The sequence below is a fragment of the Homo sapiens genome, chromosome 8 (assembly GCF_000001405.40).
Source record: "Homo sapiens chromosome 8, GRCh38.p14 Primary Assembly".
NCBI lineage: Eukaryota > Metazoa > Chordata > Mammalia > Primates > Hominidae > Homo > Homo sapiens.
Window position 1 is genome coordinate 27,574,115 of NC_000008.11, and position 16,477 is coordinate 27,590,591.

Sequence of the window (16,477 nt, forward strand, 5' to 3'; positions counted from 1 at the left end):
AGATAAGGCCATCTCTTGCATTACTGTTTCTCTTCCTTCAAGGATCTGGTGAAAGTTCTTGGGCTATCCCTGAGGAGGACGTGAACCCTGTTGGGAATGTTGCTGCAGTCCCCACTGGTGACCCCAGTTCATCCCAGGGGGCTTATGGAGCAGGACTTTGCTCTCCTGCTCACTCATCTGTGCTTCAGTGCACTCTGGATGGATTCTCTTCCCTGCCCTGAAGTGGCAGCTGCTGCCATACCCTGCTTTGCAGACCCAGCACCAGTCTTAGAGGCCATCCTTAGTTTCTGTCACCACCACCCCCCACCTCCATTGGCAGGCCATAAACAAGGACTGCCACCAAGGGTGGGTGGCAGTTTCAGCCCTGTGATTCACTGCAAGGGGTGTGTGCAATAAATAGCTCTGTAGTTAATTGCCTTTTGCTTGCCACTCAGAGCAGCCTGTAAAGGGCATCTGTGAGAAGCTGAGAGTGCTTGGGATGCACCAGGGTGGGGTAGGGGCGGGAGTAGGGAGAGCTAAGCTGAAGATGGACAAACACAGCACAGGCCTTGCTCCCGCAAAGGAAACAACTCCATAAAGGAGCGGGAAGGATAGATTTCTAAGTCAGGAATCAGAAAATTCCTATGTGGGCTTATCTAGGGGCTGCTCTGGGATGCATACAGCTCCCCAGCCCCAGGTCCTCTGTTTAGCATAGAGCTGCTCTCTTTTTATTATTATTATTATTGTTATTATTATTATTATTATTATTATTATACTTTAAGTTTTAGGGTACATGTGCACAACGTGCAGGTTTGTTACATATGTATACATGTGCCATGTTGGTGTGCTGCACCCATTAACTTGTCATTTAGCATTAGGTATATCTCCTAATGCTCTCTTGACAGTCAAGCTCTCCAGGCAGGTGGGTCCTGAGTCACGGGAGGAAGTTGTGAGGCGCACAGACGCCTGGACGAGGAGGCATGGTGATTGCTTCCTGTGCATGTAATTAGGGTTGAAGATTCAGCTCTTCAGCCATTTCTCCTTCCCTTATATTCCCTTCCTTTCCTTTCCCATTTCCTTCCTTCCATCTAACACATGTCTATAGAATCACTACAGTGGATCTTCCACCCTAAGTTCTGGAAGCGCCCCAGGAGACCCATCAGGAGGGTTGACCCCTCAGTGTAGCAGTCGAGGCAGGGGGGATCGCATCTCCAGAGTCAGACCATCTGGTCCCCACCAACCTGCTGTCACTCTGCACAAGTCCACCAGCCTCTCTGGGACCTGGATTCCTCACCCATGTGGTGGATGAGAGCTCCGCTGTCCTCCTGGGACTCTGGTCAGGCTGAGAGGGAAGACTGCACAGAGATCCTTTGTCTCACTGCCCTTTACAGACAGCCTCAGAGAGAGAAACCCGCAGTTCTACCTCTGACTCTTTCGGGAGATAATGCCGGACACCGGGCCCAGGCTCTGTGGGGTTGTGTGGATTCTAGGATCAGAGTCAATGCTGGACTTTCCTGGCTGGATGTGCTGGTCACGCCCATTTTGCTCATGAATGTTGTCACCTCCTCCTGGCATTTGTCCCTCCCTCTTCCTGCTGGATGGTCAGTTTCTTGGGGGTGGAAGTCTTGTCTGAGGCAGTTTTAGCTCCCCAGGGTCCACTAAGTACTCTCAATCTAAGATGACTCAATGATCAGTTGATCAAGAATTGAGTAAAAATCCATCCTTTTCTGGGACTTTCCCCATACACTCCCACCCATGCTGTCTGTGGTCCACGTTCCCCAGTACTGAGTCTATTAAATGCATCTCAGTATGACTGTGAGTGCTGCTCAAAGCCCTGTTAAGGAAAGGGATCATTCTCAGACCCCAGAGAGAGCTGGGATTCATGCTTCAAGATGCAGGGCAGTGGGGTAAAGACAGACGTCTAGTTCAGTTTTGTGAAGGTGGTGCTGAGATCGAGGCTGCCTTGTGGCTTTTCATGACAGATTCTCAGCATTAACAATTCTTGGTGGTCTGGTCAGTATGGAATCACAGCTAGAAGACGGGGATTTTAGAAATCATTGTCAACCTTTATGCCACCCAAACCATGACATGATGCAGCGAGTGTAGCTGGCTGCCTGAATCACCCCGCCCCCAACCCCAGAAGTAGGACTGGAGCTGGGGACATGCCAGCATTGTTGGCTCATTCCTCTAGGAATCTCCCTTGATGGTGTTCCCAGGAGATACAAGTCAGATCCAGGGACTCCATGAGCCCAGAGAATGCCCTTCCCCAGACAAGACAGTTTGTGAACCCCGATGAGAGGGTGTTGAATTCACAGTGGGATAGGCCTTAGTAACCACTTGGTGCTAGGTCAGGGGCCGTGGAGGGCACTGTACCTAATCTAGCCCTAAGTGCTTATCACATGATGGAACCACCCAAGTAGGAAGCTGGACATGCCTCTCGGGAACCGCAGCTGAGAAAGGGGCGCCCTTACAGTTACTGCTGGGATCCTAGAGTTGATTCTAGAAGTTATTCCAAGACCAGTGCTCTTCTCCAACCCCATAGCTGCCTGACAAACCCCAAATCTATACTTGGGCTCCACCCTTGTCCTGTAACAGATTGCTGGGTTTCAGGGAGGCATGATTTGCTTTGTGATATTATGTGGATGTGTGCAGTGATTAGCTCTAACACAGCAAGACTCTCCTGTTCATTTTATTAAGGACCCACTATCTGTCAGGAGATAAGAGATGATGATTACAACGTAAGAGGGATAGTACTAGAGAACTGGGTATGGTGGCTCACACCAGCAATCCCAGCATTTGGGGAGGCAGAGGTGGGAGGATCACTTGAGCCCAGGGGTTTGAGACCAGCCTGGGCAGCATAGTGAGACCCCATCTCTACAAAATAAAAATAAAAATATCTGGGCCCGGTGGAGTGCACCTATAGTTCCAGCTACTCAGGAGGCTGGGGCAGGAGGATTGCTTGAGCCCTGAAGGAGCCTAGGAGTTTGAAGCTGCAGTGAGCTAAGATCGTGCCACTGCACTCCAGCCTGGGTGACAGAGCAAGACAGCCCTTTTAAAGAAAAAGAATAATAGCACTAGAAGCAGTAGCTGATGCCTATATATTGCTTGCCACGTGCCTGACCATTTTAAACACCTTCTAGGCCTTAGCTCATTTACTCTCCATAACAATCCTGACGTGGATACTGTTATTAACCCCATTTTACAGATGAGGCACTTGAGGCCCAGAGACATTAGATAACTTGCCCAAACTCACACAGCTAGTACTTGCTCAAGCCAGGACAAAGAAGAAATCACTTCTGTCCTCTAAACTACTCGGGGAAGTCATCATGTAAGTGGACCATTTGAATGCCCAGCATCTTATAAAACTCATTCCATGCTATTTGCAATGTTATGACATCTTTAAGTATTTCCTTTTGATGAAGAAGAAACTGAGGCACACCCATGCCCTGGCTTCCATTACTCGCATCACCTTCCTATGGCCAATGTAGCCTCTCCCTTTTCCTCCTGCTGAGGTCAGTTCCTCCATAGCCTGGACAGCATTGGAAGAAATCTGAGGACTTCTGCTTCCTCTGGTTCCCACACAGCGAGAATGTCAGTGCCATCCACCAGGACCACACCAGCAAGGCAGCTGCAGCTCCTGCCTGCACCTGTTTGTATTCTAGTTTTATGAATCCCCAAATAAGAAATGTGTTAGTTTGGCTTTGTGAGTGAGTTTTATCCATGTTGCTGAGAGGGAAGACTGTACAGTTCTAATTATTTATTTTTCACTGTATATATTTACCATGGTGTATTTGTACATACTCTTGTTGATGGACATTGGGGATGCTTCAGGATTTTTTTTTCTTTTTGCCATTACATATAATGTCGCTGTGAGCATTCTTGGGAACTGTATGGCACATTCTCTGTCTCAAGGACATACTCAGAGGGCATTCTTGGGCCGTCAATCAGGAGCATCTTCAGTTTTATCAGAAACCAAGTTGTTTTCCAAAGTGTTTACAACAAATTAATCCCCAACACTACAAGCTTCCCACACTTGTCAAGATTGGAGTTGTCAGACTTTCAGATTTTCATCTGATGTGTATTAAACAATATCTCATTCTGGTTTTTCATTCTTATCTCCCTGGTGATGAACAAGGTATCACATCTTTTCAGTTTACTGATCATTCAAGTTTCCTCCTCTGTGCAATGTCTATTTATGTATTTTGCCCTTTTAAAAATTGGGTTGTTTTTCTCATTCTTACTGTTTTACAGGGTTTTATTTACATATATTTGGAATACTAGTCCTTTGTTGGTTGTATGTATTACAACATCTTCTTTCTGTTTGTGTTTCGTCTTTCATCTTTATGGTCTTTTGGTGTGCAGATGTATTTGATTTTAATACAGTCAAATCTACCCATCTAATATTTTATCTTTGGAAATTTGGAGTCTTATTGAGAAATTCTTCTCTAACCTAAGGTCATAAAATATTGTATTTTTCCCTAAAGTTTTAATTGTGCCTTTTCATGTAAGTCCTTAATACCCCTGGAGTTGATGTATGCCTGTAATTTAAAGTAGCAAACAATTTCAGTTTTTCCAAGTGGCTAACCTATTGTCCTGACACTGTTTAACAGTTTTTTTGTTTGTTTGTTTGTTTTGTTTTGTTTTGTTTTGTTTTTTGAAATTGAGTCTCGCTCTGTCACCCAAGCTGGAGTGCAGTGGCGCGGTCTCAGCTCACTGCCAGCTCCACCTCCCAGGTTCACACCATTCTCCTTCCTCAGCCTCCCGAGTAGCTGGGACTACAGGTGCCCGCCACCACCCCCAGCTAATTTTTTGTATTTTTAGTAGAGATGGGGTTTCACCGTGTTAGCCAGGATGGTCTCGATCTCCTGACCTCGTGATCTGCCTGCCTCGGCCTCCAAAGTGCTGGGATTACAGGTGTGAGCCACTGTGCCCGGCACTCCCATATACTTTAAATCATCTCTAGATGACTCAGGGTGCCAACACAATACCTACACATCACTTCACATGCATGGCTTCAATGTAGTACTTGGTGCTTGGTGAATTTAAGCTCTGCTTTTTGGACATTTGTGGCATTTTTTCTGAATGTTTTCTCTGTGATTGGTTGAACCCATGGACCCGCAGATACAGAAGGCAGACTGTAAATGTATAAGAAGGCTTAAAATCTGCTAGAGCAAGTCCCCCACCCTGTTGACTTTCAGAAGCATCTTGGTTGCTCTCAACCCATTGCTGGAACTTTACCTTGCATTTACATCCCTGCCTGGCCCTCACCTCTCAGTTTCCCACAAATTCTCTAACCACCGCGGTCCAGTCCTGTCTGGCAAGTGTTTGCTGCAGCTCTGGGAACTACTGTGTGAGTCCTTGTGTTGTAAGAGAAGATCCATCTCTGAGGGCTGAGCCTACATTCTCCCACCCTGGGCATCTCAGAACCTTCCGCCATGGAGAGCCAAGTCCTAACCCCACTCTGCCCTCTCTCATACCCAGCAGTTTTCCAGCCAGTCCAACTCCCTGGCTTCAGGTTCCTGCTCTACCACCTGGGAGGACTGGGGCAAGCTATACAACCTCCCCGTGCCTAAGTTCCCTTCTCTGTGAAACAAATCATAATAGTATCAATCTCATAGGGTTGCAAGAACTCAGTGAGATCACATGGAGCTCTTAGCACAGCACCTGGTGCTTGGGGGGTATCATCTATGCTTTGCTACAAGTGTAGCCATTTACATTTCTCCCATTTCTCCCAGCTCTTGCCTCCCCTGTGTCTCCTCTGGTGGAGGAAAGCTCTAATAGGACCCTGCAGTGCCAGGTCCGCTGTGCAGGAGCACACCTGCAATTGAATAGTTCTCAAGTCGGATCCAGCCCATCTGCCACGTGGATCTGAAATGCATGCATTTTTCATCTCTGCTGCACACTGGCTCTGTTCTCTCTTGGCTCCCTGTGGCCTCCCACAGGGAGGCTCCTTTCCCGGTCTCCCACCTCCACTCCTGCACTCTCCACCGAGCAGCCAAGGTAATCATTCCGAAAGACAGATCAGATCACGTCATCTCCTAACTAAAGGCAAACAGATGCTTTATTAAGGTATAATTTGCATACCTTATGTTCACCCTTGTAAATGTACAATTCAGTGGTTCTCCCTATATTCACAGTGTTGTACAACCATTTCTGCAATCTAATTTTAGAACATTTACATCACTTCAAAAAAAAAAAGCCCTAGCCCATTAGCATTCATTCCCCATCCTCCTAGCCCCTGGCAACTGCTAATCTGGTTTCTGTCTCTATGGATTTGTCTGTTCTGTATATTTCATAAAAATAGAATTAGGCAATATGTTGCCTTTTGTGACTGGTTTTTTTGCTTTGCATAACGTCTTCAAGATTCATCATGTTGTAGCTTGTGTGAATATTTCATGCCTGTTAATGGCTGAATAGTATTCACATTTTGTTTATTCATTCAGCAATTGATGGACATTTGGGTTGCTTCTACTTTTTGGCAATACTGAATAATGCTGCTGTGAACATTCACAAATAAGTTTGTATGTGGGCATATGTTTTCAATTCTTTGGGTAGGTACCTAGAAGTGGAATTGCTAGGTCACATGGTAACTATGCTTAACATTTTGAGAAACTGCCAGACAGTTTTCTAAAGGGGCTGTACCACTTTGCAACCCCACTAGCAATGTATGAGGGTTCCAGTTTCTCCTCAACCTCACTACACTTATTGCTGTCTTTTTTTTTTTAAGCCATCCTAATGAGTGTGAAGTGGTATCTCATTGTGGTTTTGATTAGAATTCCCCTAATGACTAATGATGATGAGCATTTCTTCATGAGTTTATTGGCCATTTGTCAGTCTCCTTGGGGGAAAAAATGTCCATTCAGATTTTTTGCCCATTTAAAATGTTGGTTTGTCTTTTTATTACTGAGTTGTAAGAGTTCTTTATACACTCTGGATACCAATCCCTTATCAGAGATAGGAGTTGCAAATATTTTCTCCCATTCAGTGAGCTGGCTTTTCACTTTCTTGATGGTGTCCTTTGAAGCACAACAAAATTTAATTTTGATGAAGTCTTATTCTCTTTTTCTTTTGTCTCTTGTGCTTTGGGTATCAATTCTCAGAAACCATTGCCCAACCCAAGATCATGAAGATTCGCACTTGTGTTTTCTTCTAAGAGATTAATAGTTTTAGTTCTTACATTGCTCTTATTGTACATGGTGTGAGGTAGGAGTCCAATTTCATTCTTTTGCATGTGAATATCCAGTTGTCCCAGCACCTTTGTTGAAAAGACTTCTTTCCTCATTTATTTGTCTTGCTACCCTTGTCAAAAATCAATGGCCACAAATGTAAGCGTGTATTTCTGGACTCCTAATTTCATTCCATTGACCTATATGTCAGTCTTTAGCACACTACTCCAGCATCTTGATTCCTGTAGTTTTGCAGTTAGTTTTTACATCAGGGAGTGAGTCAATCTCAGCCCACACCCTATCCATCCATTTCCCCTCCTGCCCTGCGAGCCTTGGGACAAAATCAACATTTGCTGCTGTGTTTCCTTCTGCCTGGAAGGCCTTCCATTGTTGTCCTGGTGAATTCTCAGTTATCCCAAAATGCCCAGCTCAAACTTCCCAACTTCTTGGCGCCTCTCAAGTCATATGGTTATCTCTCTTCTGTTTCCCACCTTTGCTGTAAACCACAAAGCCACCCGCTGCACCAAAGTTCTAGGCCTTTCCTTCCAGCTCCTCAAGGTCAGTGAGGTATCCTCCTTCATCTTGGTATTGCAAGCACCCAGCACAAGGCCTGGCACCAAAGGACCGCTCAGAGAAATGGAAGCATAAACAGGTGAAATGTCTGGGACCCATGGAGGAAATGGATGTGCAATGGGGAAGACTCCAGGGGTACTCAACTTAGGAGGCGCTTCCAGATTTCACTGAATAGTCAGTGTCAGCTCAACAGGTTGAATCTTAGCTCTGGAATTTAGAATGATGATTAGAAAAATATACAGACAACCACTTCTTTGTGGCATTGTCACAAGTGCCACCCTGTGAATTTAGAAAGCCAGGGTGTGACAAAGCAAGAGAAGGTTCCGTTGGGGGTGGGAGGCAATGGTATGCAGTTGTGTCATCTTCAGAGACACCACAGCCCTGCTTTGGGAGGCCTCTGCCTTCAGGTTCAGTCCCAGATGCTACTTGGCCAACATGAATTTAACCCAAAGGTCCTCCAATATTTTTTCGCATAAATCCAACTAAGAAGCTCCTGTAGATGACAATGGACCTGCACCCTTGTGATGAAATAGACCCTCCCCCAGGGGCCTGATCTACTACTACATGATACTGTGCTTCTTCATGTTGCTACAGCCTCAAAGAAATGTGGAATCAAAGGGGATAGGCCAAAGGCCAAGGTCTGGGCTCTGATCTAGGGGAATTCTCCAGCCAGAGTAGAGCCCCTTTTCCTTTCTCCTCTACTGAGACCCAGATACTGCCAACCAGTGCTCCCCTGAAGCAGAAGCCCAGTCCAGCCCTGAGGCTCCGAGCCTGGTGGAAAAGAACACATGTTGTAGTTTCCTTTTCACGAGATCAACTCAGGCTGCAAACATTCACTAACCCCTGTTCTTGTCCCCGCCCCTGTCCCCAACACTCTACCAGTGGGCAGCAGCCATCAGAAGCAGTAAAGGGTTTATTTTTCTCTTTTAATGTTGTTATTTTTAAAGGGTCTCACTCTGTCACCCAGGCTGCAGTGTAGTGGTGCAGTCATAGCTCACTGCAGCCTTGAACTCCTGGGCTCAAGCGATCCTTCCATCTTGGCCTCCCCCGTGTAGCTGGGACCACAGGCGCGTGCCACCATGCCTGGCTAATTTTTTGTTATTTATTTATTTATTTTCTTAGTAGAGACAAGGTCTTTGTTGCCCAGGCTGATCTTGAACTCCTGGCTTCAGGCGATCCTCCCGCTTCAGCCTCCCGGAGTGCTGGGATTCCAGACGTGAGCTACTGAACCCAGCCAGCAGCTAAAGGTTTAAATGTACCACGTGTTCTTTGTATGCCAGGCCTGCACTGGGTGTGTCATTCCTTTTAATTTTTGCAGCATCCCTAGAAAGTGACACATTGCCCTTACTTTACAGATGAGGAAACTGAGGCTCAGAGAGGTATCTCCAGAGGGTCTGTGATGAGCAGCCAGGATGGGATCATAGGACTCACTGGCTCCAGCTGAGCCCTAGGCTGGGCTGTAGTGTTTTCTCCCAAGCCAGGCAGCCCGACAGAGTCCACACCAGCAGCAGAGCCTGGGGGACCCACTGGAGTTCATGGCATTTCTGGGTGTGGCCAAGATTGTTCCGCTTTAGGTCTGAACCAGGAATCAAGGGACAAGTCGGCCTCTTTCCTCCAGAGGATCGGCCTCTCCCCAGGGGAGGGGGACTACAGGTGGCACTAGAGGGACCCCACTAAACAAACCATGAGGAAGACTAACTGCCTGAAAGGTGCTGGGAAGTGAAACACAAGAAGCCACGTATTGGATCTGGGCAGGGAAGGGCCAAAGAGCAGTGAGGGAGACCAGCCCAAAGGCCTTGCTCTGTCTGGGTTACAGATTTGGGGTGAGAATGGAAAGGGCCCCGCAGGCTTTCTCTCTGTGGCCTCAGCTCCAACACAGCTGACAGCTTTATGTGCCTGTGTCTGTAGAGCCGGAGCTGAGCCAGGGAGCTTCCCAATAAATTAAACTCTAAATCACACCTGCCACCTTCCGGCGAACAGCCAGAAGCTCCAAGAGAGCTCCAGGGCCTCTGAGCTCAGCCCACGTGGCTCTCCGGCTTAGCAGCTTCAGCAAACTGTCCCTGGGGAGTGAGCCAGGGCCAGAGACACACTCAGCGCCTGTGGTTAGAATAACCCTGTGCCCTGGGGCCTGTGGAAGCTCTGCCATGGCCAGGCTGGTCCCCAAGACACCACAGAGCATCTGCCTAGAAAGAGGCAAGTGCCCCTCCCCAGTGTGTACTCTGCATATACCCAGACCTGATGCCCAGAAACTCTGGCTCCTTGGGACAGTGGAAGATGCCCAGGCTGTGGATTCAAGTGGACTTAGCCTCTGATCCTCGCCCCTCACTTACCTGCTGTGTGACTCTAGGTAAATCGCTCTGCCTCTCTGAGCTGTGGTTTGCCCATATATAAAGTAAAGCTGGTAGCAACAATTGGGGTTGGGAGGATTCAGCGTCTAGTCCGCATGAAGGGTGCTCACCAGATGTGCCCTCCCTTCTCACTATGATAAACAAAGATTCTTCATTCTCCATACAAGACCCCCACCTCTGGTGTCATCTGAAACCCCACAGGAGGTGCCCTGGGCATCTGGTTTATGGCCCACAGTGAGATGGCAAGGATGGGACAGTGGGACAGGCTTGTGGGGTGGGAGGGGGCGAACGACCTCTCCAGTGAATCCAGAGGAGGGGCTGGGCACTGGCGATGCAGGCCCAGTAGAGGCAGCAGCGCATTCACACGTTAACCAAGCCACAGAGGCCACCAGCTCCAGTCCCAGCCCTATTATGCAAGGTCGTCAGTGGCTCCAGGAGAGGCAGGAGCTGCGATGGGAGGGGATTAGCACCAGCTCCACTCAGAAGGCCTGAGCTGGCCTTTGTCCCTCTGGACTCCTCCAGGGCCCAGAGCAGACAGGAGCTGAGTTCATGAATGGGATGGCTGGACGGGCCTCCTCCCAATCGTCCCTCCACTCAACCATCCCCACAACAAGCCACTGGACTTTGTCCCCTCTGTCCCCTGCCCCTAGAGTTCTTGGCTGCAGATCTGAGGCTGGCCTTCTCTGAGGCTGCCTTTTAGCCTCTCTGTTCACGGCCTCAGCTCTCCGCCCTTAATATGCAGAAGATGTCACATTTTCAAGGACACAGCCGTGAACTGTTCACTTCCCTGGATGATCCTCGCCATGTTTCCCATGTCCCTGTTCCCCAAGTGCATGTACAATAGTGCGAGAGCCTGGACTTCTGGGCTTCAGCCAGACCTGGCTGGGATCGATGCCCTAGTGACTCCATCCATCAAAAATGCAGCTACAAATGCTAGGTCTGACATTGCACTGGCATTGAGAATGCTGACTTTATGGTCTTGGCTTTTCAAAATATCTATAATGAACATTTAGTTCTTTTATAAAGGGGGTAAGGGGAGAAGAGCTTTAGTGTGTGTGTGTAGGTGTAGATTTGGATGGTCGTGCCTTGGTGAGTTCCTTCCTGGCCCAAGAAGCGTGGAGCCCTCCCTTTGCAATTACTGGGGCAGTTCTGCCATCATTTCTAAGGATAAGAATCTGTGACCAGAGACCCCAACCCAGAACACTGGTCCCCATTGGCCACTCAACCCCATTGATCCCAGCCAGGTCTGGCTGACACCCAGAAGTCCAGGCTCTCAACCCTTACAACAATCAAGGCTTCCCAAGGTGTGGAAGGAGGTGAATTAGCACAGTCTGTAAGGAAATTAATCTGGCAAGAAGCAGCTGAAGTTAAAACTCTACTTTCCCTTTGCTCCAACAATCTGGAAAGGCTTTGAGACTAAGACATTCGCTATAGTGCAGCGTGTGGTGGCACGACACTGAAAACATCCCACATAGACACCGAGAGAAAAATGGTGGAATAGCCTGTGGCCTTCCCCAGCCTGGACTTCCACGCAGCCACTGAAAGAATGACCTCCAGCAATGGCCCGGAGGGACTCCCAAGCTACAGGGAAACTGCAAAGGCGAGCTAAGGGGCACAGTCTGCTGAGAATGAGGCCCTGGTTTGTAAAGAACTCTGCTCAGAGCCTGCACCCAATCAATGTCAGGTATCACGATGACTGTGTCCCCCATCCCCACCCTGCCTGGCCCCACACCCTCTTCCACCCTGTCCCCACACCCTCTTCCACCCTGTCCCCTGCAGCATCTTCTTGCAGTGCCTTGTGGGCTGGATCAATGGCTTTTTGTTTCTGACTCCTGTTTGCCTGCCAGGAGAACAGCAACCTCAGCCCCAAGATCTTCACCCACGTGTGCCACTTCAAGCAGCATGTCCAGCACTGGGCCATCCCCAGGGGGCTCTGCCCTGTGGCCGGACTGCAGGGAGTCAGAACCTGCTGCCTTAACCATCCCTCCCTGTGGACCCACTTTACTGGGTCAGCTCAGGCGGTCCTCAATGTGACCCTAGCAGGCAGAGCACCAGGTCTCATTTGCAAACCAGGCTCCGAGTCCTGCCCACTCTTCATGGGTGGCCACGGGCTCTGAGTCCTCTCGCAGTGCTCCTGGGACCACACCTGTCAGCATCATGAGGAAAATAGACACAGAACCCATCCCTCTCCCCACCCAGAAGAGCCCACCCAGCGTGCTAGGGTCCGGGTACTCTGTGTTGGAGGGGACCCCCCAGCAAAGACCTAAGGATAGGCCTGGAGCCTGGTTCCCTGTGGCTTTCTCTCTAAATTCTCCTCTCCTTGTCTCTTTCTCCGGGGGAGGAGAGGCTGGTGCCTGGGACTCTCAGGGGTTGCCTCTGTCACTGTGTTCAAGGGTGAGGCCCTCCAGATCTTCAGGTGGGAATATTAGGAAGAAGGAGGATTAGAACCAGAGGGACTCTCCTCTGAAGAGGAGGACGCCTAGGGATATGAGACAATTGTGGCCAGAGATCTGAAGGGAGCCCCGGATTCCATGGGGCCCCGGGGGCCAGATGAGCAACAGGTAGATCTTCAGGGAGACACCTCCACAGGCTCCGCTGCTATGAGGAAGGGGCCTTGGAAGAGCTAGGAGCCCCTGTCACAGCCATGTCCAAGGGCAGCTGAGGCCTTCTGAGGCTGGGAACCTGTGCAGAGTCTTGAGGGAGGGCACCCAGCGGTCCCTTCCCACCCTGAGTTCTAGATTCTGTCCCCCTGGGCTGAGTGCAGAAAGAAGACCACGGAGGCCCTGCTGGAGCTGAAGGCCGTGCTGGAGGCCCACCCTGAGGTGGTGTCCCACTACCTGGTGGGGGTACGCTTCACCTGGAGGATGACATCCTACTGAGCCCCTGCTTCCAGTGGGACAGCCGCTACCTGAACATCAACCTGTACAGGTGACAGCTCACTGGGAGGTGGAGATGGGCCTGGGAGCCGGCCCTCAGAGTTGAACGGACCTCCTCCTTCTCCAATCTTTCTATGTCTCTTCTTTTTCTCTTTTGAGACAGTCTCACTTTGTCGCCCAGGCTGGAGTGCAGTAGTGAGATCTCGGCTCACTGCAACCTCTGCCTCCTGGGTTCAAGCGATTCTCCTGCCTCAGCCTCCCTATGGAGGAGGGCTGAGATTACGGGAGTGCACCACCACACCCAGCTCATTTTTTTGTATTTTTAGCAGAGGCGGGGTTTTGCCATGTTGCCCAGGCTGGTTTCGAACTCCTGAGCTCAGGCAATCCGCCCACCTCAGCCTCCCAAAGTGCTAGGATTACCGGCGTGAGCCACCATGCCTGGCCTCAATGTCACTTCTAATGTCTCCTTCTCTAGGGGAACTTCGCTGATCCTGGCAGCTGGGGACAGTCTCTCTCTCTTCTGAGTTCCTATAGCTCTTCCGCTCCATAGACCCTTTCTGCACATACCATTTCCAGCCCGTATTGTGTTAATATAAAAATTGTATGAATTCATAGATAATAGGAATAGCTACCATTTATGAAGCTGATATGCTGGAATGACAAATGTACTCTATCTCATGTACCTCCTCTAGTCAGTGATCCTGACAGCCTGGAATGCTGTGTTGAGAAGGATTCTGGGGCCAGATTGAAGTTCAGCAGAAGAGACCATCATAATCAATGCCAGGTGCCCGTCATGGACTCATTTGCCCATCAGCCAGCCCTGCCTGCCCCTGTGCTATGCCCATGCCCTTGACTGTGTTATCTCTTCCCAGTTGGTTAGGCAGTGGTCTCCCAGATGAGGCTTATATACCTGGGTCATTTAAGAAGTTGATCTTGGCTGGGCACCATGGCTCACACCTATAATCCCAGCACCTGGGAAGGCTAAGGCAGAAGCATTGCTTGAGCCCAGGAGTTCGAGACCAGCCTGGGCAACATAGTGAGACCCTGTCTCTAGCTGGGCATGGTGGCTTGCACCTGTAGTCTCAGATACTCAGGAGGCTGAGGTGGATCGCTCAAGCCCAGGAGGTCAAGGCTGCAGTGAGCCATGATTGTGCCACTGCACTCCAGCCTGGGAGAAAGAGCAAGACCCTTTTTCAACAAAATAAGTTGATCATGAAGAATGCAGGGTGGGGGAGGGGGAGCCATCCCCACTGCACCCAGGTAGGGCTGCGGGTGAGAGCCTCGCGGAGCGGCGGGGCAGCTGCGGTGCACCATGCACTACCATGTCCAGCAGAGGGCACTGCTCTTCCCTGTGCCTCTGCCACCCCCGGGGCTGACCCAGGAGATGCAGGGCTGAGCCCCAACTACCCTTCTACCCTCTCTTGGGTTCTTGTTCCAACAGCGCAGTGACTGCGATGCACTCAGAGTTTTCAGAGAAATTTCTCATCTTTCAGTCTATTTGATTATCATAGAAACCCAATGAGCAGGATAAGGCATCATGAGTCCATTGAACAGATAAGAAAGTGAAGGTCTCTCAGAGGGGACAGGACTTACATATTAATTAGCAGTGGAAATAGGGCCAGAGCCTCCTCCACTATGTATCACACTGCTGATTGCAATAGAAATAGGGAGGTCAGTGCTGCATTTTAACATCCCCCTTCTTTACTGTCTAAAACGCTCCTCCATTCTATTGGGATCTCTACATTGTGTGTGTGTGTGGTGCACACATGTTTGTCTCAGGGCACTAGTGTCACACATGGAGGCTCCTGGACACAGGTGTGCCTGGTTTGCAGCCCTGCTGACATACCAGCCCTGGGACCAGGCCCGTTGCACCTGGTTGCTTCTACAGGTGCCACACTGTACCTCAAAGAACTTTGAGAAAATGCATCCTGCCTTCCCAAAGTTCTGTGCCATCTGAGAAAAGCTAGAACCCACTGGGATGTTCCTAAATTTGTATTTGGAGAAGGTGTTCTACTGAAGTCAGAGCAGAAAACAAGCTACCCTCATGCTCTCCCCAGGCCTCCCTTGATGAGGGTGGAGCCCCAGCATCCCATTGGCCCAAGGATGGGGGAGCAGATGTCCCCTGCCAACCCCACAGTGATGAACTAGGTCCTGGATAGGGGCCCCCTTTATCCTCCCAATCCCTGCAGCTGGAGGCGGCCCAGCACCCACATCCCTGTTTACATCTTCAACAGGCACCCCATCCTGCAATCACCACATCCTGTTTTTCCAGGAGAAAGAAGAGCCCTGATATGTTTGTCTAGAAGGTCAGGGGTTCAGTCACTCACAGATTCCACCTGGGTGTGAAAGTAAAATTTGCAGGGTCTGTAGCCTTGGGGGTTCCCTATCCAGCCCTCTTCAGAAGGGAGCTCCTTGGCAAATGTTGGAGCACAGGGGTGGTGTGCACCCTGCTCTGATTTCTCTCACCCTTGAGGGTCTCTCAGGTGCTCAGGTGAGAGCCCACTCCCCTGGAGCTGCCCTCTTCTAGCAGGGTCTGCCTGGACATCAGCCCTCCCATAGCCTGACCAGCAGCATGTCTATTTCGGGGGTGTTTGGGGAATGGGACTCTTCTCACCTTCTTCTTAATAAAGACCAAGAATTGATTCCCTCCCTGTCTCCTCTTCTGCACCTCCAAGATTATTCTTTGGGAGCAGGAGGCTCACTGATTACCCCAGGAGGCTTCCCTCCTAGGGTACCCAGTCTTGGACTTGCCTAGAAAATGCTTTTCATGTCCCTTTTTTCAAACCTCGTTTCAACTTGCCTCCGACCTACCATGCCTTGCAGACTTCATGGAGCGCATTCCTTGATCATAGGCCATGCAGCAAGTGCTTGAGGGGAATAAAAAGAACCTTAAGGTAGGTTCCTACCCTCAAGCAATGCATATTTTAATCATTTATCTCATGAGGGATTCATATCCAAAATACCTTGAGAATTCCTACAATTCACCAATGAAAATACAAATGACCCAATCAAAAAAGTGGGCAAAAGATTCAAAATAGGCATTTCTCCAAAGAATATAAACAAATGATACTTAAAAACCACATGAAAAGATGCTCAACATCACTAGTCATTAGGGAAATGCAAATCAAACTACAATGAGAGACCACACCCCTTAGAATCAATTAAAAAAAAAACAAAAAACAGAAACTAACAAGTGTCTGGTGAGGATATGGAGAAACTGGAACTCTTTTGCTTTGGGGGTTCCCTCAAAGCACAAATGTAATGGAAATGTAGCAGAAGTGTAGAATGGGGCAGCCACGGCAGAAAATGGCATGGTGGTTCCTCAAAAAATTAAACATAGAATTCCCATATGATCCATAAATTCTATTTCTGGGTATATACTCAAAATAACTCAAAGCAGGGTCTCAAAGAGGTGGTTGTACACCCATCTTTATAACAGCATTATTTACAATAGCCAAATGTCTTATCAAGACAAATGGAGGAACAAAATGAGGTATATTCATACAATAGTGTTATTCAGGCTTTAGAAGGAGGG

General features: G+C 49.0%; 1 pseudogene, besides 1 other annotated feature; it reads left to right on the forward strand.

The window, feature by feature from the left end:
• GULOP (gulonolactone (L-) oxidase, pseudogene) lies at positions 3,497 to 14,959 on the forward strand (annotated as a pseudogene).
• Positions 14,098 to 14,392: an enhancer, noted in NCBI's record as "tiled region #1589; K562 Activating non-DNase unmatched - State 20:ReprD". NCBI's record gives its function as "activates a minimal TATA promoter and a strong SV40 promoter by Sharpr-MPRA in K562 cells {active_cell/tissue: K562}" and the evidence as "EXISTENCE:reporter gene assay evidence [ECO:0000049][PMID:27701403]".